Source organism: Homo sapiens, chromosome 19 (assembly GCF_000001405.40).
Source record: "Homo sapiens chromosome 19, GRCh38.p14 Primary Assembly".
Taxonomy (NCBI): Eukaryota; Metazoa; Chordata; class Mammalia; order Primates; family Hominidae; genus Homo; species Homo sapiens.
This window is the reverse complement of record NC_000019.10, coordinates 16,405,003-16,432,472: the sequence shown is the minus strand read 5'-3', so window position 1 is coordinate 16,432,472 and position 27,470 is coordinate 16,405,003. Positions and strand designations below refer to the sequence as shown.

The window sequence follows — 27,470 nt, the reverse complement described above, 5'->3', positions numbered from 1 at the left end:
CCTCAGCCTCCCAAGTAGCTGGGACTACAGGCGCCCGCCACCACGCCTGGCTAATTTTTCATATTTTTAGTAGAGATGGGGTTTCACCATGTCAGCCAGGATGGTCTCGATCTCCTGACCTCATTATCCGCCTGCCTTGGCCTCCCAAAGTGCTGGGATTGCAGGTGTGAGCCACCATGCCCAGCCAATTTTTGTATTTTTAATAGAGATGGGGTTTCACCATGTTGGTCAGGCTAGTCTTGAACTCCTGACCTCAGGTGATCCACCTGCCTCGGCCTCCCAAAGTGCAAGGATTACAAGCGTGAGCCACCGTGCCTGGCCAAATTAATTAATTTTAAAAGCCTCAATTTGTTTCTGTTAACTAAAAGTACAGTTGTCCCTTGGTATACTTAGGGGGATTGGTTCCAGGGCCCCTATCATACACCGAAATGTACGCATACTCAAGTCCTGCAATCAGTCCTGCACATACAAAAGTCGGCCCTCTGTATATTCGGGTTTCACGTCCCACGACTACTGTATTTTGTATCCACGTTTGGTTAGAAAAATACAAGCATAAGTGAGCTTGCACAGTTCAACAAACCATGTTGTTCAAGAGTCAACCGTGTTTTGCTTTATTTTGCGTTTCATTATTTTTATTTTTGATGATACATAATAGTTGTAGTGTGGGGTCCACGTGGTGGTTTGATACATGCACACAATGTGTAATCATCCCAGCAGGGTAATTAGCATATCCATCACCTCAAACACTGATCCTTTCTTTGTGTTGGGAACATTCAAATCTTCTCTTCTGGAAGACTCTGAAAGATATGATAAATTATTGTTAGCTATAGTTCCCCTGTTGTGCTGTTGAACTTTAGAACTTATTCCTTCTGGCCCGGTACGGTGGCTCACGCATGTAATCCCAGCACTTTGGGAGGCCGAGGCGGGCAGATCACGAGATCAAAAGATCAAGACCATCCTGGCCAACATGGTGAAGCCCCATCTCTACTAAAAATACAAAAATTAGCTGGGCATGGTGGCACACTCATGTAGTCCCAGCGACTCGGGAAGCTGAGGCAGGAGAATCGCTTGAATCTGGGAGGCAGAGGTTGCAGTGAGCCAAGATCATACCACTGCACTCCAGCCTGGGTGACAGAGTGAGACTCTGTCTCAAAAAAAAAAAGAATGTATACCTTCTATCTAACCATAAATATAAGTATTATTTATTTATTTATTAAAAAAAAGTTTTTTTTTTTTGAGATGAAGTCTCGCTGTCACCGAGGCTGGAGTGCACTGGCACCATCTTGGCTCACTGCAACCTCCGCCTCCCTGGTTCGAGCAATTCTCCTGTCTCAGCCTCCCAAGTAGCTGGGAACACGGGTGCACCCCATCACGCCCAGCTAATTTTTATATTTTTAGTAGAGATAGGGTTTCACCATGTTGGCCAGGCTGGTCTCGAACTCCTGGCCTCAGGTGATCCGCCTGCCTTGGACTCCCAAAGTGCTGGGATGGATGACAGTCGTGAGCCACTGTGCCCGGCCATGCATACATCTTTGTATCCATGCATCTATGCACCCATGTCCCTCCGCATCCCTATGATCCATTCATCTGTGTGTGCACATGCCCATGCAATGTATTTATCCACATCTGTGCATGCGTCTTTGTGCCCATATGTCTATGCTGCCATGTCCCCGTGTGTCCATATTTATACATTCATCCGTGCGCACTTGCATCCGTGCTGTCATCCATCTGTGCATCCAGGCACTCACACATCGTGCATCTGGTCAGTCATTCAGTAAGCATTTTTCAGAGCCTGCAGTGGACCATGCCTTGTGCTGGGCAGTGGGAAGGTGGGGATAATTAGATACCGTCAAAGAAGTCAAATAAGTAATAGCTAAGAGGCTGAGACTTATTTACTGAGGGCTTAGTATGGGCAGGCCGGGCCCTAGTGCTCTGCGTGAAGACACACATCCAGCACTTGCAGCCCTCCTGTTAAGGACTGTGTCTCACACCCCTCCACCACCCATTTTTCAGATGGCGAAGCAGATCTTCAGGGTGGTTGGGAAGTCACCTTGGTTGCACAGTTGTGGAAGGGTGGAGAAGGGATGAGGTCCTACTGTGGACAGGGCGGGGCAGGGTCCAGTGTGCATTCTGGAGCAGCTGTCCCTAGAGCCTGCCCTCTTCACCTGCCCTGTCCATTAGACACCCCCACAGCATCCCTGATAATCACAGTTTGGCCCAGTGAGGGCAGTGGTGGAGGGGAGGGCCCCTGACCCACTCGAGCACGGGGAGCAGGGCAGCTGGGGAAGACTTTCTAGAAGAGGTGCCCCTGGTCACATCCTCCAGGGTGAGGGGGACTCTGGTAGAAGTCTGGGCATGTGGGCAACTTGAGTGAAGGCACAGAGGCCTCAGGCAGTCTGGCATGCCAGTTAGGGCCACAGCTCCCCCTGGACACTTCCACCCCCCAGGGGACATTGGGCAATGTCTGGGGACATTTTTGGTTGTCACACCTGGGTCGAGTGCTGCTGGCATCTGGTGGGTCAAGGCCAGGAATGCTGCTCACCACCCTGCAGTGCACGGCATGGCCCACACCCCAGAGCATGATCCAGCCCTAACAGGCAGTAGTGCTGAGGTGGGGAAGCCCTGGGCTGAGGGAGGACTGTGGAGCCAGAAAGGCCTGTTGGAGTCCTGGATCCCTGGTAAAGTAGGTGGAGGTCCCCGTGGAGTCTGTGGAGGCTGGGTTGGGGTGCAGGGACCTGCTACCGTCAGGGGCTCAGCAGCAGCCAGGTGACAGGGCCCCATCTGCCAGGCTGAGGAGCAGGGTGGGGCAGGGTCAGGTGTGTGTTCTGGAGCAGTTCCTGTGGTAGCCATAGGGACAAGACTGGGATAGGGAGGCCAGCTGGAGGCTCTTGGCTGTGTGGGCTGGTGAGGCCTGAGCCTCGGGCGCAGCAGCAGAGGTGGAGAGGAGGACCAGATGTGAGAAACCTGCATGGACTGAAGCCCTGGTGATTGGCTGGAGAGAGGTGATGCTGACACATGAAGCATCATGGATAGAGCCACGGGCATCTGCTTAGATCCGGGGACTGGCAGCCTGCCCAGCGTTGGCCTGGCAGGCAGTGTGCCCATCCAGGAAGGCTGGCATGGGTCAGGAAGCTGGCAGCGTGATGGTGCTTGAGATCTGCACGTGTCTTAGGCACGCTCCAGAACCCACGCCTGCCTGCCTTCTCTTCAGCGCACTGAGTGGCCTGACACCTGTCTCACCATCCACTGCTGGGGAGTGGAGACGAGACCCACAGACCTGCTCAGACATGAGCTCGCAGCCCTGCCCAGCTGAGAATGCAAGGGAGGGGTGGGGTTTGCAGGAGTGAGCATAGGGAGTGTGGGTGTTTAGGGCAACACCTGTACTCAATCAAAGCTGTCTTTTCTAAGATGTCTCTGTAAGACAATAAAGAAGAAACTCAGGGTAAGTTTAAAGTATAGCCTTTAAACTTATAATCTTATAATCAATATGATTATAATCATGATGATTGTCAGACCACAGATCTGGTAGTTGACAGTACTTCACAGGTGATGGTTTTTCTGAGAACTCGCGGACTGGTCCTGAAATGTATATTGACTGCCGTCTCCTGAGCCCAGTGAGTGCCACGGCTGAGAGTCTGAGTTCCGGCAGGTGGTCTCACTCTCACCCAGTCCTTCCTCCCACAGTTACCCATGCTGGTCTCTCCCTTGCAGGTCTGGGACCTCAGTGACATTGACAAGGATGGGCACTTGGATCGAGATGAGTTCGCTGTGGTAAGTCCTGCTGTTTCCTCCCCACCCAGCCCAGGAAGGAAATGTGCAGTGCGCAGGGGTTGCTGGATTCGTTTGTCTTTCTCTCTTTTTTCTTTTCTTTTTTCTTTTCTTTTCTTTTCTTTTCCTTTCCTTTTCCTTTCTTTTCCTTTCTTTTCTGTCTTTCTTCCTTTCTTTCTTTCACTTTCTTTCTCTCTCTCTCTCCCTCCCTCCCTCCCTCCCTCTCTCCCTCTCTCCTCTCTCTGTCTCCCTCCCTCCCTCCTTCCTTCCTTCCTTCCTTCCTTCCTTCCCTCCCTCCCTTTTCTTTCTTTCTTTCTTTTTTTTTTTGTTTTTAGATGGAGTCTCACTCTATCGCCAGGCTGGCATTCAGTGGCCCGATCTTGGCCAGGATGGTCTCCATCTCCTGCCTTGTGATCCACCCGCCTCGGCCTCCCAAAGTGCTGGGATTACAGGCGTGAGCCACTGTGCCTGGCCTTCTTTCTTTCTTTCTTTCTTTTTTTTTTTGATACGGAGTCTTGCTCTGTCACACAGGCTGGAGTGCAGTGGTGTAATCTTGGTTCACTGCAGCCTCCGCCTCCCAGGTTCAAGCAGTTCTCTTGCCTCAGCCTCCCAAGTAGCTGGGATTACAGGCACCTGCCACTATGCCCACCTCATTTTTGTATTTTTAGTAGAGACAGGGTTTCACCATGTTGGTCAGGATGGTCTCGATCTCCTGCCTAGTGATCCACCCGCCTTGGCCTCCCAAAGTGCTGGGATTACAGGCGTGAGCCACTGCACCTAGCCTTCTTTCTTTCTTTCTTTCTTTTTTTTTGACACGGAGTCTTGCTCTGTCACCCAGGCTGGAGTGCAGTGGTGCAATCTTGGTTCACTGCAGCCTCCACCTCCTGGGTTCAAGCAATTCCCATGCCTCAGTCTCCCAAGTAGCTGGAATTACAGGTGCACTCCATCACAGCCAGATAATTTTTTTGTATTTTTGATAGAGATGGGGTTTTACCATATTGGCCAGGCTGGTCTTGAGTTCCTGGCCTCAAGTGATCTGCCCGCCTCTGCCTCCTAAAGTGCTGGGATTACAGGCATGAGACACCACACCCAGCCTTCCTTCTTTCATTTTTTAAGTGTTTGTCTTGACATAGTTCTTTGTATGTAGGAAAGTTTCAGTATAGGTTGAGTATCCTTAATCTGAAAGTCTGAAACCAGAATGCTTCAAGATCTGACATTTTTTGAGCATCAACATGACACTCAAAGGAAATGCTCATTGAAGAATTTCAGATTTTGGATTTTTGGATTAGTAATGCTGAACCAGTAAGTGTAATACACACATTCAGAAATTCAGAAAACTCCAGAACTGAAACCCTGTGGTCCCAGGCATTTTGGATAAGGGATACGCAACCTGTAATACAGAGAATTATTTTTTGTTTTTGAGACAGAGTCTTGTTCTGTCACCCCAGCTCCAGTGCAGTGACGTGAACACCCTTGCTGCAGCCTCGAACTCAACTCAAGCGACCTCCCCCCTTGGCCTCCGACAGAAAATTCTTTTGAAAACTCTTCAGTCAAATTTCCCAGTGTCACTAATTTCCTACATTTGTTTTATCTTTCTCCTCCCTTCTTCCTCCCTCCCTCCATCACTCTCTCGCCCTTCCCACTGCTGCACGAAGTTTTCCTGTGAACCATTTTAGGGTTAAGTTGCAGACATGATGCCTCTTCATCCACAAACACTTCAGTGCGTATTTCCTAAAAACAAGGACTTCTCTCACACATAACCATTATCCACTTCAAAATCAGGAAATTCACATCATAGCATTGCATTTATGATGTTTTCATTATATCCTGTATATACCCCTTATATTCTGTATGAGCGTGTCTATTATTATCTAATCCCAGGATATTACTCAGATTTTATCAGTTGTCCCAAAAATGTTCCTTGTGTCTAAAGAGAACCCAGTCCTGTGTGTTACATCCTGTTGTCTTTTGTCTTTCGTTTCCTGGGATCTAGAACAGTTCCTCCATCGCTCTTCGTGTCTCTTGACGTGGACTTTTTGTTTTTTTGTTGTCGTTGTTCTGTTTTTGAGAGGGAGTCTCACTCTGTCATCTAGGCTGGTGTGCAGTGGCATGATCTCAGCTCACTGCATCCTCCACCTCCTGGATTCAAGCGATTCTCCTGCCTCAGTCTTCCAAGTAACTGGGATTATAGGTGCCCACCACCACAGCCAGCTAATTTTTTTTTTGAATTTTTAGTAGAGATGCGGTTTCTCCCTGTTGGCCAGGCTGGTCTTGAACTCCTGACCTCAGGTGATCTGCCCGTCTCGGCCTCCAAAGTGCTGAGATTACAGGCATGAGCCACCATGCCTGGTTTCAACGTGGACATTTTGAAGAGCACAGGCCAGCAGTTATGGAGTGTTCCTAGGCCTGGGCCTGGCTGCCAGGTCCTCTTGATGACCCAGGTCATGCACTCTTGTGAGACAGGAATCCCACGGAGGTCACACCCGCCCCACATGGGCCTCCCACCTGGGGGAACGTGATGTCAACATGTCTTCTTACTGCCATGTTGACATTCATCACTGGGTCAAGGTGGGTCAAGGTTGTGGGTTCCTGTGGGCAGTTGCTCTTTTTCCCTCTGTGCTCAGTTCATCTCATGTGGGGCACGCCTTGATACGGTCAACACCCATGACTCTCAGACTCTTCCATGAGAGTTCCACCATCGCTGATGAGTCTCGCCTTAATCTGGCAAGATTAATTATGATGATGGTGGCTGCCAAATGGTGATGTGCTAATCAAAACCATCATTCCTTGCACTTTTATTAGTTGGCCTTCCACAAGGAATTTATTTCTATGGCTGTGGCCTGCCTCATGGATGCATCCTCAGTTCCACTGTTTTTTGTTTTGTTTTGTTTTGTTTTATAGAGACAGAGTCTCGCTCTGTCACCCAGGCTGGAGTGCAGTGGCGCGATCACAGCTCACTGCAGCCTCCATCTCCTGGGCTCAGGCAATCCTCCCACCTCAGCCTCCCAAGTAGCTGGGACTACTCCTGAACGTCTTGAAGTACAGGTCTCTCTTCTGGTGTCTTTAGACTTCCAAATCCAGTACTGGGAAGGTGCCAGCCCTGGAGCTGGTGGCCTCCCTGAGTGGTGAAGGGATGCATATGGAGTCTGGCTTGATTGGATTCTTTCTGTGTGCATTTCAGTCTCGAGGAATAATTCAACACATGTCTTGGAAAGTTACACATAAAAGATAACTCATGAGGAATGATTTCTTTTCACTCTGGTCAGCTTGGGAGCGTCCTGACAGAGTGTCCTGTCACTGCAGCCCCCAAAGGGCTGCCCTCTGCCTTCTCCTGATGGTCCCGGCCCCAGCCTTGCCCCTTCAGTGCCATTGTTGTTTGCACCTGCAGGCCATGCACTTGGTGTACCGAGCCCTGGAGAAGGAGCCCGTGCCCTCCGCCCTGCCCCCGTCCCTCATCCCACCCTCCAAGAGAAAGAAGACTGTGTTCCCTGGCGCCGTCCCCGTCCTGCCTGCCAGCCCCCCACCAAAAGACAGCCTCCGCTCCACGCCGTCCCACGGCAGCGTCAGCAGCCTCAACAGCACAGGGAGCCTGTCCCCCAAGCACAGCCTCAAGCAAACACAGGTACGGAGCCCTCAGCGGGCACAGCCCCCTCTCAGAGCACAGTAGGATGTTTCTCGGGAGTTCTTAACATGCAACCCCAGAACGGTCAAGCTTGTGATGAAATGTCTTTAAAAAATGCTTGTGGCCAGGTGCGGTGGCTCACGCCTGTAATCCCAGCACTTTGGGAGGCCGAGGTGGGCAGATCTCAAGGTTAGGAGATCAAGACCATCCTGGCCAACATGGTGAAACCCCGTCTCTACTAAAAATACAAAAAAATTAGCTGGGTGTGGTGGTGCGCACCTGTAATCCCAGCCACTCGGGAGGCTGAGGCAGGAGAATTGCTTGAACCTGGGAGACGGAGGTTGCAGTGAGCTGAGAGCGCGCCACTGCACTCCAGCCTGGGCAACAAGAGCGAAACTCTATCTCAAAAAAAAAAAGTATTCATTTATCTCATTATTTCAACATGGTCTCCCCTATGTTACTCAGGCTGGTCTTGAACTCCTTGGCTCAAGTGATCCTCCTGCCTCGGCCTCCCAAAGTGCTGGGATTACAGGTGTGAGCCACCGTGCCCAGCCTGTGTCTGCAGAGCTCTTGCCAAGAGTTTTGAAAGTCAGGTTAGGGGAGGTACTTTACTGGCAACGAAGCTAGTGGGGCCAAACTCACTGGTAGGCACAGGTCACCCAGCGTCATAACCCACCTCTCTAGTGATCTTCTGGTGGTTCTCTCAAGACCCTCTGACTAGACCGATTTTACCAGTGGCCCCTGGTGGGGTGGGGTGGGAGGGTATAGCTCCTGCCCCCACGACGGCATTGGTAGGATCACAGTCATGAAAACGAGCATTTCTGGGGGCCTACAGTCCACATGCTCCCCCTACTCCAACTTCCTCATCTCCAGGCCAGCAATGCTCTTGTCTGGGCCTCCCAAGGGCCACCCGATTTTGCCCTCATGCCAGGTTTGAGTGAAGCCACTTCCAGCCACCAGGGTCTGATATCCTTCCTTTGGGACCTGTGGCTGCTGAGCCGGCCTTAAAGCCCAGCTGTCACTGGGAGAGCCAGCTCCACGGCAAGGCTGCCCCGTGTTGGGTTTATAGTCAATTTGGCATCAGAATCTTGCTGCTAACATACTCTGAGGCTCCAGAAATCAGGCAGTGAGTTCCTTTTGTTTGCCCAGCAAGTATTATTAGGACTCTTGTCATCCCAGAGCTATAATTTCATACGTAATTTCTTCTTGGGACCCGTGGGACACAGAACCCCCCTTGTTTCTGTGTCCCGCCACAGCTCAGCTTGTCTGACTCCTGTTACCTCTTTGTGATCCCTGGCTTCTGAGGTTAGCTTGCTGTAGCTCCGTGACTTAAAAGGCAGCAAGCCCATTTCTCATTAGAATTCCTTTATTGGCATCTTTACGTCCACCAGACTTGAGAAGGCTCACAAAATTTACACAGTACAATGCCACAAGTAAAAATCAGGTTGCTCTTGCCATCTGAACTCTCATCATTTGAATTAGATCCATAGATTTTTTTTTTTTAAATATATAAGAGACAGGATCTTGCTCTGCTGCCCTGGCTGGAGTGCAGTGGTGCAATCACGGCTCATTGCTATCTCAACCTCCTGGGCTCAAGTGATCCTTCCACCTCAGCCTCCCTAGTAGCTGGAATAGGTGGATGCCACCACACCTAGCTAATTTTATTTATTTATTTATTTTGTAGAGATGGGGTCTTGCTGTGTTATGCTGGCTGGTCTTGAACTCCTGGGCTTGAGGGATCCTCCTGCCTTGGCCTCCCAAAGTGCTGAGATTACAGGCATGAGCACTGTGCCTGGCCTAGCTCCATGGATTTTGATAAATTGTTTGATCAAGTCCTTGCTGTACTTCATCACACATACTTGCTACGTGAAACCCCTGAACTAAGCTGATCTGGGTCACATGGTATCCCTTGTTTCCCAAGCTTGCTTTCTGATTTCCCTGAGTTGGTATCAGGAGCCTGTTAGATTTGGACATCACAGGAGACTCGTTCATGAAGAGTAAACGAGTTTAACCATTGTTTCCCAGTCTTGACCATGAGTCCCTTCTCCTCAATCCTATGGACATCTTCGGGTTGTCAACACTGTGAGAACTCTTTGAGAAATCCCCCCCCCCTTTTTTTTTCCCCGAGACGGAGTCTTGCTCTGTCGCCCAGGCTGGAGTGCAGTGGCACAATCTCAGCTCCCTGCAACTTCTGCCTCCCAGGTTCAAGCAATTCTCCTGCCTCAGCCTCCTGAGTAGCTGGGATCACAGGTGCCTACCACCACACCTGGCTAATTTTTCGTGTTTTTAGTAGAGAGGGGGTTTCACCATGTTGGCCAATCTGGTCTCAAACTCCTGGCCTCAGGTGATCCACCCACCTCAGCCTCCCAAAGTGCTGGGATTATAGGTGTGAGCCACTGCACCCAGCCTAAGAAATCCTTTCATAACTGAGAGGAATGACTTTGAGTGGCAGTTTCAGGCATCATGGCGTTCATTGAAGGTGAGGAGTGGAGTGGCTTTTCTGTACAGTTGCTGCGTGGAGAAGGAACAATCGATCCCTCCAGCCACATTTGCCTGTCCTTTTTCTCTCCACTCCCTCATCATCTAGATAATTCAATCAGGTGTTTATTCTCATTGCTATTATGAGATTGTTTAAAAGGAGTGATTTGTGTAAATATTTAAAAAAAAAGGGAAGAGGAAAAGCACGTCTAGAGTTCAGGACACAGATGCCGTGAACTGTGGCGTGGTGGGTGTATTGAAGGCCCGCGGTAATGCAGGTGGAGTAGGCCACGGAAGGGGCCTGCCCCTGAGTGCCTGAGGGGCCTCAATGCCTCTGAACCAGGAGGTGACCGGGCCCTGGTTGACCCATGATGGCGTTTGCCTCTCTCAAGTTAACTGTGAGCTGGTGGCGAGAGGGGTCGCACGTGCAGCGGGTGACCCAGCCCCAGGGCTGTGAACTTTGAGCTGCACTGGGCTCGTGGCTCCATCTGCCCTGGTGGGGTTGGGGCTGCATGAATGTTGGTGGGGCCTCGTGGGTGGTGGCCCTCTTGGATGGTGGTGTCTCATTTGTTACCTGTCAGTGACGTGTGTGTACTCACACCTTGGGGGTATCTTTGTTGTCTCAGGAGTGGGGCAGGGACATAGAAGGGTGGTCTTCAGAGTCCTGGGACAGGACACTTTGGCTGCCTGTAGGGCAGCCTTTGCGGGCTGAGGAGTGGGAGGACCAGGGAGGCTGGCATGTGGCCGGGCCGGTTCTCCAGGGACGGTCCTTCCAAGTGGGTGCTCGGGAGGGTCTTTCCTGGCATGCTTGAACCCATCCCCTGAAGATCACAGCCTCCCTCACACCCTGGGTGGCAGGGTGGATGGACAAGGAGAGCGGGTGATGGGGTGGAGAGAGGTGCAGACTGGCATCTGGGTGAGCTTCACAGAGCCAGCCTCAACCTGTCTCAGCCTCAGTTTTGCCAGTTACAGAACAAGGATCACATCTGCCCTCTTGGCTCATGGAAGTGAGGAGAGTTTGATGCCAAATGTGCATGGAAGTGCTTTAATCGCCCCATCATCAAAAAGCATGTGTCTGGGGGTCATAAAAAGCTTCCAGATTAACTGTTTTGCCAAAAACTGTTTCAGCCAACAGTGAACTGGGTGGTGCCCGTGGCAGACAAGATGCGATTTGATGAGATATTCCTGAAGACCGACCTGGACCTGGATGGCTACGTGAGTGGCCAGGAGGTGAAGGAGATCTTCATGCACTCGGGCCTCACCCAGAACCTTCTAGCACACATATGGTAAGGCCGGACAGGTGGCAGTTGTGGCTGTGGGTGGCTCCAGGGGGCCTGTGGGTGAAGACTGTGGAGGGTGGTGGTCAGGGGGCCCCCTCCAGCCTGTCACAGGCTTCCGCTGTGTCTGGCGTCCTTTATTCTCCCTGGCCTGACAGAGGCTGAGCAAGGTGCACGTGCCAAGGCTCGAAGCCCGCGCTCCGTGACGGTCAGTTCACTGTCTTTCAGTAGGAAGGGCCTCTGGTCCGTCTTAAGTGCTCCCAGGCCATTTGCTTACACAGCTGGGCCCTATTCTTGCTGGCTGTGATGCTGGCTCTAACAGGAGGCCTGGACTTTGTCACAGCCGCCTCCGGGAGGTGCGGGCAGCAGGGCCTTGGAGCCTCTAGCAGAGTGGCCTGGCAGGGTGAGGGCGGGGGCAGGAGGCCCTGCTCTGGAAAGGCCAGTGCTTTGGCTCCTGGCGGGAGGGTGAGCACAAGGAGACCCTGTCAGTGCCTCAGAGCCCAGTCGAGGAGTCGGCCTCAACCCCTCTTTCCCCCAGGGCTGGACACAGCCGACTTCATAGGGCTGGGGCACTCCTCTTGCCACTGGCCAGGGCTGAAGTCACTTTTGAGCTTGTTGCTCAGAGCCTTGTGGCCTTAGAGAAGGCTTCACTTGGGAGCTATCAAAAGGAAAGAATTGCTGGATAATTCTCGAGAGGCAAATACCTCCAAGTAGAGCAGTGAAATTCAGGATGTTACTTAGTGGCTTGGGGGAAATGACTGTCCTTAGTGGTAATTCACAGATGACCACACTGTGAGGTGGGAGCCTGAGAACTAGCTGTCGCAGAGTCATCACCCAAATGGCCAAGCCGCCTCCAACTGGCTAGGGACAGTGGGTCTCAGCTGCCTCAGATCCAGTGTCCCTTTTAGAAACCAACAAAACACAGTGTCCCCTTTATGACTCTGAAACCAACACACATACAGTTCCTGGTTAGCGCCCTGACACCCTGACTGTCATGTCTAGGGGTCAGTAGAGGGAAAGTAATTTATAATGCATGCTGCAATTGACACATGATGTAATGACATGGAAATGACACAGGAAATCACTAATCCACCTGGATCAAAAGAAGGAACTCAGAGGTCATTCCATGCGGGCAGCAAAGGGGAAGGAAAGGATGATCAGGCTCTTGAATAACCATGAGAAAAGAAGTCTAGATGTGTCTGCGAGTGGCTGGGGCGGGGCATGGCCCAATGTAGATGACACACCAGGAGGGACTGGGAGGAGGGGGAGCATGAAGACAGAGGCTTTTTCCCTGCGATGGCTGCCACCGTACGGGTCAGCAGAGCAGGATGTGGTGTCAGAGCCGGATGGCCGCTGACTGAGCCACCCCTAAGCTTGCTTCTCCTTCTTTCTCTCAGAACCTTCCACAGGTGGGCCTTGGAGCCCACACTCCTTGAGAGATGGCAGGAGCAGAGAAGGGGCGGGAGTGGAGAGGCAGCTGCAGCCCACGAGCAGGCTGGGGCCCGCAGGGGCAGACTGGGGAGAGACAGTGGCAGTATGAAATCGTCAGGGCCTCGAACTGTGGGGATAACTAGGCATTTATCAGCAATGTTCTTTGAGATCTGCTCATTCTCCGCAGCTCTGTTCACGGACTGCATTTGGGTATAAATAAGTCTGTTAGAACGGTCCCAGCTCTCTTTTGGTAAAAGGGGAAACTTCTGTTGTAATGGCTTCTGCCGCAGCTACACGGGAGGTGGGAAACGAGGTCCCTCGTTGAGAGGGCAGCATGGGTGAAGGAAGACATTTTTCATAGATGCCAAAGGCCTTGTCCTTACTCCACAAGGGTCCCTTCCCTTCCTGGTTGGCTCCTCATTTTTTTATTTTTTTTTTTTGAGACAGAGACTCACTGTTGCCCAGGCTGGAGCGCATTGGCGCAATCTTGGCTCACTGAAACCTCTGCCTCCTGGGTTCAAGTGATTCTCGTGCCTCAGCCTCCTGAGCAGCTGGGATTACAGGCGCGCGCCACCATGCCCGGCTAATTTTTGTATTTTTAGTAGAGGCGGGATTTCCCCATGTTGGCCAAGCTGGTCTCGAACTCCTGACCTCAGGTGATCTGCCCGCCTCAGCTCCCAAAGTGTTGAGAACACAGGCATGAGCCATTGCACCCGGCCCTGGCTGGCTCCTTGATTGTGAGTGTCGCGGAGCCTCTCACCTCAGCTCCACAGGACCACTGTGTGCTGCTATTCAGATGCTGCCTTGGCCCATCTTTCAGGACATCCAAGAGCTATGTGGGCAGGGGACGCTTAGTTGTGGGGGACTGTCCTGTGCATTGTGGCCATGCCCCTGTGGCAGCCTCATTTGGGCACAAGAGGAGTGTTTTAGACCATTGGGCTGCTGTGACAAAGTGCCATAGACAGAGTGGCTTAGAAACAGACATTTCTCACGGCTCTGGGGGGTGGAAGTCTGTGATCCAGGCACCAGCAGATCCAGTGTCTGGTGAGGGCTCACTGCCTAGTTTGTAGACGGCCACCTGCTTGCCGTGTCCTCACATGGCAAAAGGAGCAGAGAGAGCCTTCTGGGGCCTCTTTTATAAGGGCACTAATCCCACTCCTGAGGCTCCACCCTCATGACCTCATCACCTCCCAGAGGCCCCACCTCCCAACACCATCCCATTGAGGGATAGGATTTGGACATAGGAATCTGGGGGGACATAAACGTTCCGTTCATAACAAGGAAAGAGAGTCGTTGCTGATTCTTTCTTCATCATGATGACACCCCAAAGTGCTGCTGTCATCCCCATTGAAGGCCAGTAGCCGGGGCCATTCAGATGACCCAGAGCTACAGGGACAATGCTTGGTCTCAGCACCCATTTCCACGGAAGGGCTGGTCTACTCCATGCCTGCAGCATCAGAGCCTGCCCCACGCACGAGATAAGCCAAAGGAAGAGGCAGCTGCATCTCAGCCCTAGTGAGGTTTTCCCAGGGGGTCGGCTCCTCAGCCCAGGTCAGGGGCTTGGGGTTCTTCAGCCCTGACAGCCCTCCTAGGGTGGGGGACACTGGGAGCGGGGAACCCCTGGGCCACTTCCTGGGAAGGAGATGTGAAGTAGGGAAGGAGCTGGGGCTTGCCACCACGCCCTGCCGTTGTTTTCGTCGCTGTCGTTTTTGAAAAGCAAGGGATCGGTGACTTGGGTTCAGGCTGAGTCGGCGCCTGTGATGTGTAATTAGCATCCCCACGTTTCTCCCAGGGCCCTGGCCGATACGAGGCAAACGGGGAAGTTAAGCAAAGACCAATTCGCGTTAGCTATGTATTTCATTCAGCAGAAGGTCAGTAAAGGCATCGACCCTCCTCAAGTCCTCTCGCCGGACATGGTCCCGCCTTCGGAGAGAGGCACGCCCGGCCCGGTGAGTGGTGCTGGTCATGCCCTGGGGGTATTGACATCCCTTCCCACCGCCTGCCACCAGGTGGCACTGGTGGCACACATGAGCCCACGGTGGCGGGTGCTGCCTGTGGTCCCTGCCTTCCTCAACAGGGGCCCCCGGGAGGGTGGCTTGGCTGCCCAGGTATTTCCCCAGGCAGGGGGCTGACACTTTTGCTACCTCACCCTGTGTACTAAAGGGACAATTTTATCCCTGGGCCCGAGAACTGCTGGTGCCTCCTGTCAGGTGATGTCAGGTTGCTAATTAGAGATCTCGCCTCTGAATTCAATTCTAGGACAGTTCAGGCTCTCTCGGCTCCGGGGAGTTTACTGGCGTGAAGGAGCTTGATGACATCAGTCAAGAGATTGCCCAGTTACAAAGGTATGTTGGAAACGGCCCTTCCCTCCACATCCAGATGTTACACGAACTCTCCCAGGTTGTTATCGGAAATATCAGAGGCTCACCTGGAAGTTTGCTCATCACAGGTTTATTCAGAAGGAAGGAAAAGATACAGCTTCTGAGGTCCTAAACTGGCTCAAGGGGCTTGAAGAATGACATCTTCCATTTGAATCAGCCTCAGCCAGAGCCCGTAGCATCTGTGTGGTCTCAGGCAGGTCTTGACCAGAGCCTGTGGGTGGCAGCTGTGTGGTCCCAGGCAGGTCGTGGGCAGAGCCTGTGGCAGCTGTGTGGTCCCAGGCAGGTCGTGGGCAGAGCCCGTGGCAGCTGTGTGGTCCCAGGCAGGTCATGGGCACAGCCTGTGGCAGCTGTGTTGTCCCAGGCAGGTCATGGGCAGAGCCTGTGGCAGCTTTGTGGTCTCAGGCAGGTCGCAGCTCAGTAGCCCCAGGCATCAGCCCCTCCCCAGTGCTAGGAAGGCCTTGTTATCCTTGACAGCTAGGGCAATTGGGTCTCAGATGGCGAGGAGCGGGCTTAGGACCCAGCAGCTGAAGGTGTGAAGGGGCCTCCAGGTCTGTGGCTCCCCTTCTTGCCTAGTGCCTTAGTTTCCTCATGTGTAAACGAGGGCTTTGGATGGGCTGTCTGTACTTTTAGAGTCTGGTATAAAGAAATGCAGTCACTTCCTGTATTCCCCTCTGGATCCTCTTCAAGAATGACATCCTTTTTTGTTGTTTGTTTTTCAGACAGGGTCTCGCTCTGTCACCCAAGCTGGAGCGTAGTGGTGTGATCATGGCTCACTGTAGCATCTGTTTCCTAGGCTTAAGCAATCCTCCCACCTCAGCCTCCCGAGTAGCTAGGACGCACCACCATGCTGGCTAGATTTTTTTTTTTTTTTTTTAATTTGAGACAGAGTCTCATTCTGTCACCTAGGCTGGAGTGCAGTGGTGTGATCTCAGCTCACTGCAGCCTCTGCCTCCTGGGCTCAAGTGATCTTCCCACTCACCCTCCCAGGAAGCTGAGAGTACAGGTGCATGCCACCATGCCTGGCTAATTTTTTTATATTTTTTGTAGAGATGGGGTTTCGCCATGTTGCCCAGGCTGGTCTCGAACTCCTGAGCTCAAGTGATCCTCTGGCCTTGGCCTCCCAAAGTGCTGGGATTACAGGCGTGAGCCACTGTGCCAGCCAGCATCTTTTTTCCAGTCGATTCTAGGACAGGGTGGACTCTTGTGATGACGGGGCACCATGCAGAAGGGCCCAAAGGTGCTTTGCCCTCTGTGGGAAAGAGATTGTTTACTTGGCTGAAAATGGAAAGGGCTTTGACTTTCCCAGGGAGGATGGATCCTGGTCCTAGCTGGGGGATCCCCGGGGGTCATATTAACAGGTGCAGTATTCTATCAGCTCCTCTGGCCTTGGTTTTGTGCTGTTAGCAGAGCCCTGATGAGCAAAGGCAGGTTAGGTCTTGGAGGGGATCAAGGTGGGTGGCTGGTTAGAAAACCTGAGCCACGGCCTGAGTCAGGCATCCCACTTCATGTTCAGTGCAGCAGATGGTTCCTGTTCTGTCTCAGCTCCTGGGGGCCGTGTTATCCAAACTGGCGATCAGCAAGGATGTGCAGCCTGACAAGGCTGAGGGTGTCTTGAGGATGCAGGGCCAGCATCCTAGAGCCTGGGCAGGCCTGAGAATCAGGACCGGGCAGGCCAAGGATGGAGGGAGCCCCTGTCGTGCAAGGGTCAGGGTCTAGGAAGGGACGCTGGGGCGTGAATCACCCCAGTGTGGCCTCAGACAGCCAGAAGCCTTGTTTCCCCAATGTGGAGGTGACAGGCTGGTGTGTGCAGAGTGCCCATCTGTAGGAGGCTGGGGCCTGCAGTGGCCCCTTGAGCAGGTGGCTCTGAGAGTGGCCCTTGATTCGGGGAGTGTGGGCTGAGCTTTCCTCTTATGATTTCACACTGCCATAAGCCAGCAAGGGCATGTCAGGTCCTTCAGTTTAAAGAGCACTTTGTATTGTAAGTTTCTGGGCTTGTGGAAATGAATATTCCAATGATCACTTACTGTGTGTCTGGCGACATGTCCCTGAGAGGGCCTTATTGTTGCACAAGTCCTGGGTCCCTGGGCAGGAGGCAGGGTCTGTTAGACACATGGTGTTCCTGTCCCTGAGGCAGCCTCTTTGGGCACAAGAGGAGGGTCTTAGTCCATTCATACTGCTATAACAAACCACTCTGAATGGGTGACTGAAACATCAGACATTTCGCACAGTTCTGGAGGCTGCAAAGTCCAACCTCCAGATACCGGCAGATCGGGTCTGCTGAGGACCCATTTGCTGATTCCTGGAGAGTCACCTTCTTGCCGTGTCCTCACAGGGCAAAAGGAGCAAAGGAAGCTCTCTGGGGTCCTTCTTATAAGGGCACTAAACCCTGGGCCTTGTGGCTCACACCTATAATCAATTTTTCCTGTTCCAAGCCACCCAGTTGGTGATTTGTTACAGCAGTGCTAGGAAATACATGCACGAATTCTATCTCAGTTTAAAAATAAAAGAAGGCTGGGTGCTGTGGCTCATGACTGTAATCCAAGTGCTTTGGGAGGCCAAGGCAAGAGGATCGGTTGAGCCCAGGAGGTCCAGACCAGCCTGGGCCATATATTGAGACCTCGGCTACAAAAAATAAAAAATTAGCCAGGCCTGGTGGGGCACACCTGTGGTCCTAGCTACTCAGGAGGCTAAGGTGGGAGGATTGCTTGAGCCCAGGAAGTCAAGGATGCAGTGAGCTATGATCGTGCCACTGCAGTCCAGCCTGGGTGACAGAGCAAGAGCCTGTCTCAAAAAAAAAAAAAAACAAAACCAAAAAAAGGCCAGGCGTGTTGGCTCACGCCTATAATTCCAGTACTTTGGGAGGCTGAGGCGGGCGGATCACTAGGTCAGGAGATCAAGACTATCCTGGCCAACACAGCGAAACCCCGTCTCTACTGAAAATACAAAAATTAGCTGGGCGTGGTGGCACGTGCCTGTAGTCCCAGCTACTAGGGAGGCTGAGGCAGGAGAATCGCTTGAACTGGGGAGGCGGAGGATGCAGTGAGCTGAGATTGCGCCACTGCACTCCAGCCTGGGTGACAGAGCGAGACTCTGTCTCAAAAAAAAAAAAGTAGTAGTTCAGACAGGCTGTCCTGGGCTGTCCAGGGTGTCACAGGCTGAGGTCAAGGCGTCGGCTGGGCTGGGCTCTTGTTGGAGGCTCTAGGGGAAGAATCTGTTTCTAGGCTCATTCAGGTGTTGGCAGAATCCATTTCCCTGCGGCTGGGGGTCCGAGGTCTCTTTTTCCTTTCTGAGGTCAGCCAGGGCCACTCCATGCTCCTGGACACTGCCCCTGTTCCCCCTCACGTGGCCCCTCCACCTTCAAAGTCAGCAAGGGCGCTCTGGGTCCTTATCACACTTGGGACATCTCTAACTTCCACTTGGGCAACCAGGTGGAGAAAGCGCGCTGCTTTTAGAGGGTGGTTACATTGGGAGCGATCCCTCCCATGGTCACAGGTCCTACCTACAGTTGACGGGGAAGGGACTGTACAGGGCGAGCAGTCGCTGGGTCTCATTCTTAGACTTCTGCCAGCACACAGAGGGGCTTTTGTGGGGGTGAACAGAATCAGGCCTTGGGAAGGGGTGGAGGCTTATTATTCACTCTTGTTTTCATGAAATATTTTTAAACATTCAGAGAGAAATATTCACTGGAACAAGACATTCGAGAAAAGGAAGAGGCAATCAGACAGAAAACCAGCGAGGTGCAGGTAAGGGTCTCGTTCGTTTTGGTTACATCTACTTTGTGCTAAATGTAGTTCAGGAAAACTTCCCTCCCTGGCTGGTGGTGGGGAAGGGCAGGGGTCTGCCCTGGATGGAAACATGAGCTCTTGGGGGCTGCAGAATGAAGTTTTTGTTTTTTTTTTTTTCAGGCTGAATTCACTTTATTTTTCTTGTATAAAAACCCTATGTTGTAGCCACAGCTGGAGCCTGGGTGCTCTGCATGGAGACTCTGGTGTAGGTCTTGACAAGGTGGTCAGTGAACTCCTGATAGGGAGACTTGGTGAATACAGTCTCCTTCCAGAGGTTGGGAGTCAGGTAGCTGTAGGTCTTAGAGATGGCATCAAAGGTGGCCTTGTCGAAGTTGCCCAGGATGGCAGTGCAGCCCCTGGCTGAGGTGTAGCAGTCATTGATACTAGCCATCATGAGCAGCTTCTTGGACACAGGTGCTGAGACAATGCCAGTGCCCCTGGGCGTGGGGATGAGTTACACCAGCACAGAGTTGCAGTGGCCTGTCACCTTGCAAGGGACAATGTGGGGTTTGCTGATCTTGTTCCCCCAGTAGCCTCTGCACACGGGGACAATGGAGAGCTTGGCCAGTATGATGGCCCTGCGGATGGCAGTGGCCGCCTCCTTGGAGCACTTAATACCCAGACCGATGTGGCCATTGTAGTCCCCGATAGCAACAAACGCCTTGAACCTGGTGCACTGGCCGGCGCGGGTCTGTTTCTGCACTGGCATAATCTTCAAAACCTCATCCTTGAGAGAGCCCCCCAGGCAAAAGTCAATGATCTCAGATTCCTTGATGGGCGGGAGAAGAGATAGCTCTCCTCCAGGGACTTGATCTTCATGTCCTTGACCAGGCGGCCCAGCTTGGTGATGGGCATCCACTCCTTATCCTCGGCCTTGCCTCTGCAAGCTCCGTGGCCTTGGTCCCGGCTCCGGTGCTGTCCACGGCCGCGACCCCAGCCCCAGATGCCACTGCTGAAACCTCCGTGGAAGTTACTGTGGTTGCCCATCCCAGGGCCTCTGACACCCCCCCCCCCCCCACCCCCCGCTGCACCGGTGTCATCCGCCATTCGGTGTTTTCTCGGAGAAGAAGAAGTTTTTAAAAATATATATATATATATTTTTCCAAATAGAGATGGGGTCTCAGACTCTTGAGCTCAAATGATTCTCCTGTCTTGGCTTCTCAAAGTGTTAGGATTATAGGTGTAAGCCACCAAGCCTGGCGAGAGTGAAGATTTTTTTTTCTTTTTTTTTAAAAATGGAGTCTTGCTCTGTTGCCAGGCTGGAGTGCAGTGGCACGATCTCAGCTCACTGCAATTTCCGCCTCCTGGGTTCAAGCGATTCCCCTGTCTCAGCCTCCCAAGTAGTTGGGATTACAGGCACGCACCACCATGCCTGGCTAATTTTTTGTATTTTAGTAGAGATGGGGTTTCACCATGTTGGCTAGGATGGTCTTAATCTCCTGACCTCGTGATCTGCCTGCCTCAGCCTCCCAAAGTGCTGGAATTACAGGCTAAAGTTTTTAAAGTTGCTTATAACCATAGACGGTGGCTTCTCTTTTTCTAAAATTGAGACAAGTTGGCCCTCTGTATCCAAGGGTTCTGCATCTTTGGATCTAACCAACCACAGATTAAAAAAATAAAAAAATAAAAAATAATCCAAATTGATGAAACAATACAATATGATAACTATTTACATAGCATTTACATTATATTAGGTATTATAAATAACCTAGAGATGATTTAAAGTATACGAGGCTGGCTGTAGTGGCTCACACCTGTAATCCCAGCACTTTGGGAGGCCGAGGCCGGAGGATCGCTTGAGCCCAGGAGTTTGAGACCAGCCTGGGCAACACAGTGGGACCCTGTTTCTACAAAAATATTTGCAAAAGCCGGGTGTAGTGGCATGTGTCTGTAGTCCCAGTTACTCAGGAGGCTGAGGTGGGAGAATCACTTGAGCCCAGGAGTTTAAGGCAGTAGTGAGCTGTGATTGCACTACTGCACTCCACCCTGGGCAACAGAGTGAGACCCTGCCTCAAAAATAAATGAATAAGTAATATGGGGTGGTGCTAGGGTAGGGGACATGTGTAGGTTATATGCAAACACTGAACCGTTTTATGTCACACTTGAGCATCTGCAAATTTTAATACCAATCTGAAGGATGGCTATGTAATTAATGTCAAATGTGCTGTATTAAAGTGTACATTTCAGTGGTGTTTCGCATAATCACCGTGTTGATTAACCATCACTCTATCGAGTTAGAACCTGATTGTTTCTCCCGTAGGCGCCAGTAGGCCCATAAAAACATCTAGCCCTGAACAGTAAATGGAAGGTTACTTTCTGAAAGATTCATCGTTAACTGTTCTCTTTCAGTGAGTGGAAGAGTTTGACACTAACTTTCCATTAACCCAAAAGGAAACCTCATCCCCATTAAGCAGTTACTTCCCATTCTCCCCTTTCTCCAGCCCCTGGCAACTACTCATCTTTTTTCTGTGTGTATGGATTTGTACCCAGCCACAATGGGGCACATTTCCTTCATCTGTTCCTCCCATCGGGGAATATTTGGGTTTTCCCACTTTTTGGCTGTTGTGAATAATGTTGCTAGGAACATTTGTCTGCAGGTTTTCGTGCGAACACCTGTTTGCATTTATCTCAGGTACCTGGAGTTCCGGACATTTCCTGTCAGTGGAATCATACAACACATGACCTTTTGTGCCTGGCTTCTTCCACTCAGCATCATGTTTTTGAGGGTCATCCATATTGTAGCATATATTAGCGTTGAATTCCTTTTTATGGCAGAATAATATTCCATTGTGTGGATGGAGCACATTTTTTGTTTTAAGAGGCAGTGTCTCACTCCATTGCCCAGGCTGGAGTACAGTGACACAACCTTGGTTCACTGCAACTTCTGCCTCCCAGACTCAGGTGATCCTCCCACCTCAGCTTCTCGAGTAGCTGGGACTACAGGCATGCACCACCATGCTTGGCTAATTTTTAATTTTTTTTTGCAGCGACAAGGTCTCACTGTGTTGTCCAGGTTGGTCTCAAACTCCTGGACTCAAAGCAATCTGCCTGCCTCGGCCTCCCAGAGTGCTGGGATTACAGGCATGAGCCACCATGCCAAGCCACGATGGGCCACATTTTACTCATCCATCCCTCATTGATAGATGTTTTGGCTTTGCAAATATTGTTGCTAGGAACATTTGTCTGCAAGTTTTTGTGTGAACACCTGTTTGCCTTTATCTCAAGTGTATACCTGGGAGTGAATTTGCTGGGCCACATGGTAACTGTTGAGGAGCTGCCAGACTGTTTTTCAAAGTGGCTGTACCATTTTACATTCCCATAAGCAGTGTACTAGGGTGCCAGCTCTGCACAGCCTCACCAACACTTACCCATTTCCCGTTTTTCCTTCTAGCCGTCGTGGTGGGTGTGGAGCACTGCCTCATTGTGGATTTCATTGGCATGTCCCTCATGCTTCCCTAGCGACGTCAAGTATCTTTCCATGTGCTTATTAGCCATTTGTATGTAGTCATTGGAGAAAAATCATTCCGATTCCTTGCCCTTTTATATTGAAAAAATTTTTTTCTTGCCGATTTTTAAATTGCATTTTTTTTTTTTTTTGAGACGGAGTCTCACTCTGTTGCCTAGGCTGGAGCACAAGGGTGCAATCTCAGCTCACTGCAGCCTCCGCCTCCTGGGTTCAAATGATTTTCGTGCCTCGGCTTCCCGAGTAGCTGGGATTACAGGCATGTGCCACTACACCTGGTTAATTGGGTTCTTTTTATAGCTGATTTTTTTTTTTTTTTTTTTTTTTTTTGAGACAGAGTCTCACTCTGTGGCCCAGGCTGGAGTGCAGTGGTGCGATCTCAGCTCACTGCAACCTCCGCCTCCCAGGTTCAAGTGATTCTCCTGCCTTAGCCTCCCAAGTAGCTGGGATTATAGGTGTGCACCACCACACACAGCTAATTTTTGTGTTTTTAGTAGAGACAGGGTTTCACCATGTTGGCCAGGCTGGTCTCAAACTCCTGACCTCAGGTGATCCTCCCACCTTGGCCTCCCAAAGTGCTGGGATTACAGGCGGGAGCCACTGCGCCTGGCCTATAGCTGAATTTGAAGAATTCTTTATCATTTCTAGGTAGAAGTCCTTGTCAGATATGTGACTTGCAAATACCTTCTCAGCATCCACTGAGAGTCCACTCTGGATTGTCTTTCCACATTCTTGATGGTGTCTTTTGAAGCACAAGTTGTTAATGTTGGTGAAGTCTGGTTTATCCTTTTTTTGCTGCTGTTGCTTTTGGTGTCATAGCTGAGAACCCATTACCAAATCTCAGGTCACATGATGTATCCCTGTGTTTTCTTCTAAGAGTTTTATAGTTTTCGCTTTTCCATGTAGGTCTTTGATCCATTTCTAGTTAATTTTTGTATATAGCATAAGGCAGGGATGCAATGTCATTGTTTTGCATGTGGACATCTAGTTGTCATGGCACCATTGTTTTTATTATTTTACTTTAAAAAATTTGTTTTTAGAGACAGTCTCGCTCTGTTGCCGAGGCTGGAGTGCAGTGGTATGATTCTAGTTCACTGCAGCCTCAAAATCCTGGGCTCAAGGGATCCTCCTGCATCAGCTTCCTGAGTAGCTAGGACTACAGGGTGTGCACTGCCACACCTAGCTAATTCAAAAACAATTTTTTTTTGTTAAGAGACAGGGTCTCGCTGTATTGCTCAGGCTCATCTCAAACACCTGGCCTCTAGGGATCTTCCCACTCTGGCCTCTCAAAGTGTTGGGATTACAGGTGTGAGCCACCATGCTGGGCCAGTGCCATTTGTTGAAGAGCCTCTTCTTTCCCCCGTTGAATGGCCCTAGCATCCTTGTCAAGGATGAGTTGACTATAGCTGTGCATTTATTTTTGGACCCTCAGCTCTATCCCATTGACCTATCTGCCTCTCCTCATGCCACTACATCACTGACTTGATTACTGCAGCCCTGTAAAAGTTTTGAAATCAGGAAATGGGCATCCTCCATCTTTTTCTTCTCTGTCAGGGTTGTCATGGCTATTCTGGGTCCCATGTGTTTCCATGTGATTTTTTTTTTTTTTTGAGACGGAGTCTCACTGTCACTCAGGCTGGAGTGCAGTGGCGCAATCTCGGCTCACTGCAACCACTACCTCCTGGGTTCAAGTGATTGTCCTGCCTCAGCCTCCCGAGTAGCTGAGAATGCAGATGCGTGCCCCCACACCCAGCTAATTTTTGTATTTTTACAAAATTTTGTAAAAATTTGTATTTTTACAAATTTGTATTTTACTGGGTTTCACCATGTTAGCCAGGCTGGTCTCAAACTCCTGACCTCAGATGATCTGCTTGCCTTGGCCTCCAAAAGTGCTGGCATTACAGGCGTGAGCTACCGTGCCTGGCCCCATATGAATTTTGGAATCAGCTTGTCTGTTTCTGCAAAGAAGCCAGCTGGGATTCTGACAGGGATTGTGTGGACTCCGTGGACTGTTGGGGTTATTTTTGTCTTCTTTTTGCTCTGAGCTCCCCTTCCTAACCTCGAGCTGGTGGGTCTTTGTCCCTCTGGGACTTTCTGATGGCTCCTTCTCCATTACGGAATGAGGTCCAGGTTCCTTCAGTTCCACACTGTTGTTACCTGGTGTCCAGAGCTACCCCATCCGGCCTAACGCTCTTCCCATCTTCCCTTCCCTTATCCATCACTCCCCTTAGATGTGGCCACCCACATCCCCAGCTCCCACAACTAACTCTGTTTCAGTTATTCTGTGTTATCACCCCCAAACTTCTTAGACTTAATGCCTCAGTTCAGGGGTTTGGAGACACAGTCTCTGTCCCATCAGCAGCCACCCCTTCTGGCCCAGGGTCTCCACTAGTGTCTAGGGGAATCCAGGAGTTGTCACGTCACAGGGGTTGGCTGCGCTGTGGCCTGACGGAGCAATGACATTTTTCAATGAAGGGGGAAGACGGAGACTGCCCTGAAGGAAACTGCAGCTCAGGTTCCTAAATGGGGGAGAAACTATGTGCAAAAAATTACCCAGCAAGGTTTAAACAATTGTGTATTTCAGCTTTATTGATTTTATATATCAAGAAGGGAGAAAGCAAGAATCAAGAAGGGGAAAAGAAGGCCAGGCATGGTGGCTCACACCTATAATCCCAGCACTTTGGGAGACTGAGTCTGGCGGATCACTTGAGGCCAGGAGTTCAAGACCAGCCTGGCCAACATGGTGAAACCCAGTCTATACTAAAAATACAAAAACACAGAAACAAAAAAATCACGCAACTGGGCGTGGTGGCGTGCACCTGTAGTCCCAGCTACTCGGGAGACTGAGGCACGAGAATCCCTTGAACCCAGGAGGCAGAGGTTGCAGTGAGCTGAGACTGCACCGCTGCACTCCAGCCTGGGTGTTAGAGTGAGATTCTGTCTCAAAAGAAAAAAAAATGCTGGGGAGTGGGGAGAAGAAAGGGAAGGGAGAGCCAAGAGTGAGTAGGGCAGGAGCTTCTGAGGAGGGGTTGAGACTGTGAGAACCCTCTTAGAGAAGTGGTGAGGTACCCTGAGCACCTTTGTCACTGCAGACGCTGACATGGCATGTGTGTCTTAGTCCATTTGGCTTGCCATAACAGCACACCATGCACTGGGAGGCTTATAAACAACAGAAGTTTACTGCTCACAGTTCAGGAGGCTGGGAAGTCCAAGATCAAGGGGCCTGCAGATTCAGCGTCTGGTGAGGACCCACTTCCTGGTTCATAGGCAGCACCTTCTTGCTGTGTCCTCCCTCAGTGGAAAGATCGAGGCAGCTCTCAGGGGCCTCTTTTATAAGGCCACTAATCCCACTCACAAGGGCTGTACCTAATCACCTCCTAGAGGCCCCACACCTAATACCATCATCTTGGGGGTGAGAATTTCAACAACAGACATTCAGTACACGGCATGTGGCCAGTGAGTTCCCTCTTGTCCTCCTGTCATGCCTCTTCTGGGCAAATATTCTCTGCTCTGTGCATGAAGGATGTGATGTACACATTTTGGCATCTTTGGTTTGAGGAGGAGGTAAAGGAGGGAACTTCTCTGGGCAGGCCAAAGGTGTTGGAGCCCCTAGTGTCCTGGATCCATGGGCCGTGGCCTGGAAGGAGCCAGTGTGGCGCTAACTAGAACCCTGAGGCCCAGGACACCAGGGAGTTGCTGCCAGCGTTACCCGGTGATGGGGCCAGGGTTAGACTTAGGAGGCTCTAGAGGCTTCCGTCCCTGGTGGGAGCATCGCTCGGAGCATTGGGCTACCTCAGGCTCTCTCTGTGCCCCCCACTGGACACCTCACCCATTCCCACGTGTTTAAATACCACCTTGATGCTGACACGCCTGACTTTATGTTTCCAGCATCTTCCCTTCCTGGCACACTCACTGGAGTCTTTCTCCTGAGTTTCCTGTCGAACATGTCCATAAGTGACCCTGATTGTCCCCTCCAGATCCAGCCCTCAAGTGAAAGGCCAGGGGCAGGGAGACTGGGGAACGGAGACCCCAGCTTCCTGAGGCATGATTTGCCTATCGAGGCAGGGAAGCACCAGGATGTTTTTGTCCCCATAGTGAGGAGAGGGGAGACCCTGGGCCACCTCTGGTTTTGTTATCTCAGGGCACCAGCCACCCCAGCAGCCCAGGCTGGCTCTCGGACTCAGCCCCACCACCCAGCCATGGCTCCCCGCAAACCCACCCCTCCTCTCCATTCTCACGACCACCACCTCACTCAGGCCCCAGCTGCTGCTGCCTCTCCCTGGACCCCACCCGAGGCCCCTGCAGTTCCTGCGTCCTGATGGCCCCTTGCACCACGCTCCACATGGCAGCTGGAGGGAGGAGGCTTGTCACAATGCCCGTTGTGCTATTTCAGCTTTGGTTATTTATCTTAAAGACAGATAATGCATTTGCGTGGTTGAAAATCAGGAGGTGAGAAGCCTCTGCCCTCTTCTTGGGTGTCCCCATCCCCGGAGGTGCTGTTCATGAGCTCCTGGAGGGGGCCTTCCAGAAAGGTTGATGCATACCACACATACCCTCCCCTTCCCGTTCGCACAAATGCAGTGTGCTCATGTCCCACTGTAAGGCAAAGCACACGGCGCCATCCCGTTCCATGGCCAAGGAGCGTCCCACAGTGTGGGCTGTGCTGGAACCTTCCAGCCAGCACCTCATGGACATCTGCATTGTTTACGGATTTTGCTGTCATAGACGTTGTATACCTCTGCACACGCTGTATGCTTCCAGGATGCTTTTCTTGGAAGTGGAATCATGGGGCATTGGAGCCTCGGGCTGACCATCTGGATCCATCCCACGGGGTCAGAGAGAGCTTCAGAAACAGAATCATGATGTCCCGCCTCCCACACTCACACATCCCACCGGGCTCCCCACCACAGAGCCCAGCGCAGTCTCCTTGGCGTGGCCTGTGGGGTGCAGCCTCTGATGCCTCCACCCATTCCCTTTTGCTCTAGCTGGAGTGCGACACCCCCCGACCCTGGGGTCCCTGTGGTTCCCTCCGCCAGGCTCTGTCCCTGGCTCTTCACCTGCCTGGCACCTGCTCACCTGTTGGCCCCATCCTAAATGCTGCTTTTGTGGGCATCTTCCCTGCCCACAAGGTGTGACTGTAGTTTCCCTGTGACCCCCTTGGTGCCACTTGTCCACGTTTATTTGCGTTTGGGTGATGTTCCCCTCCGCAGCCACAGCTGCATGTCATCCGGGAGCTGGGGCCTTTTTCTCACAGGGACCCAGCCC

The 27,470-nt window shown here is 51.5% G+C and overlaps 1 protein-coding gene and 1 pseudogene across 13 annotated transcripts in view, besides 7 other annotated features; one reads left to right on the top strand and one right to left on the bottom strand.

Annotated features, from left to right (window-relative positions):
- The window catches only part of EPS15L1 (epidermal growth factor receptor pathway substrate 15 like 1), a 116,766-nt gene that overhangs the window by 39,540 nt on the left and 49,756 nt on the right, over window positions 1-27,470 (top strand). For all 13 annotated transcript variants that reach the window (NR_047665.2, NR_047666.1, XM_017027089.3 and 10 more), the window contains 6 exons: window positions 3,712-3,771; window positions 7,157-7,390; window positions 10,997-11,154; window positions 14,369-14,525; window positions 14,836-14,921; window positions 18,628-18,700. Coding sequence is in view for 11 of the 13 variants with exons in the window: in XM_017027089.3 (XP_016882578.1) it covers window positions 3,712-3,771; window positions 7,157-7,390; window positions 10,997-11,154; window positions 14,369-14,525; window positions 14,836-14,921; window positions 18,628-18,700 (768 nt within the window). In the remaining 2 variants the exon portion in view is untranslated. The remainder of the gene's footprint in view (window positions 1-3,711; window positions 3,772-7,156; window positions 7,391-10,996; window positions 11,155-14,368; window positions 14,526-14,835; window positions 14,922-18,627; window positions 18,701-27,470) is intronic.
- Window positions 10,960-11,563: an enhancer, noted in NCBI's record as "H3K27ac-H3K4me1 hESC enhancer chr19:16531721-16532324 (GRCh37/hg19 assembly coordinates)". NCBI's record gives its function as "activates a minimal SCP1, AML or CMV promoter by ChIP-STARR-seq in naive H9 embryonic stem cells {active_cell/tissue: H9 hESC(naive)}" and the evidence as "EXISTENCE:reporter gene assay evidence [ECO:0000049][PMID:30033119]".
- Window positions 11,564-12,167: an enhancer, noted in NCBI's record as "NANOG-H3K27ac-H3K4me1 hESC enhancer chr19:16531117-16531720 (GRCh37/hg19 assembly coordinates)". NCBI's record gives its function as "activates a minimal SCP1, AML or CMV promoter by ChIP-STARR-seq in naive H9 embryonic stem cells {active_cell/tissue: H9 hESC(naive)}" and the evidence as "EXISTENCE:reporter gene assay evidence [ECO:0000049][PMID:30033119]".
- Window positions 13,980-14,583: an enhancer, noted in NCBI's record as "H3K27ac-H3K4me1 hESC enhancer chr19:16528701-16529304 (GRCh37/hg19 assembly coordinates)". NCBI's record gives its function as "activates a minimal SCP1, AML or CMV promoter by ChIP-STARR-seq in naive and primed H9 embryonic stem cells {active_cell/tissue: H9 hESC(naive and primed)}" and the evidence as "EXISTENCE:reporter gene assay evidence [ECO:0000049][PMID:30033119]".
- Window positions 13,980-14,628: a biological region, named in NCBI's record as "H3K27ac-H3K4me1 hESC enhancer GRCh37_chr19:16528701-16529304".
- Window positions 14,549-14,628: a silencer, noted in NCBI's record as "silent region_10299". NCBI's record gives its function as "represses an Ori minimal core promoter by ATAC-STARR-seq in GM12878 lymphoblastoid cells {active_cell/tissue: GM12878}" and the evidence as "EXISTENCE:reporter gene assay evidence [ECO:0000049][PMID:35858748]".
- Window positions 14,729-14,778: an enhancer, noted in NCBI's record as "active region_14231". NCBI's record gives its function as "activates an Ori minimal core promoter by ATAC-STARR-seq in GM12878 lymphoblastoid cells {active_cell/tissue: GM12878}" and the evidence as "EXISTENCE:reporter gene assay evidence [ECO:0000049][PMID:35858748]".
- Window positions 14,809-14,878: an enhancer, noted in NCBI's record as "active region_14230". NCBI's record gives its function as "activates an Ori minimal core promoter by ATAC-STARR-seq in GM12878 lymphoblastoid cells {active_cell/tissue: GM12878}" and the evidence as "EXISTENCE:reporter gene assay evidence [ECO:0000049][PMID:35858748]".
- On the bottom strand, window positions 18,860-19,812 carry RPS2P51 (ribosomal protein S2 pseudogene 51; annotated as a pseudogene).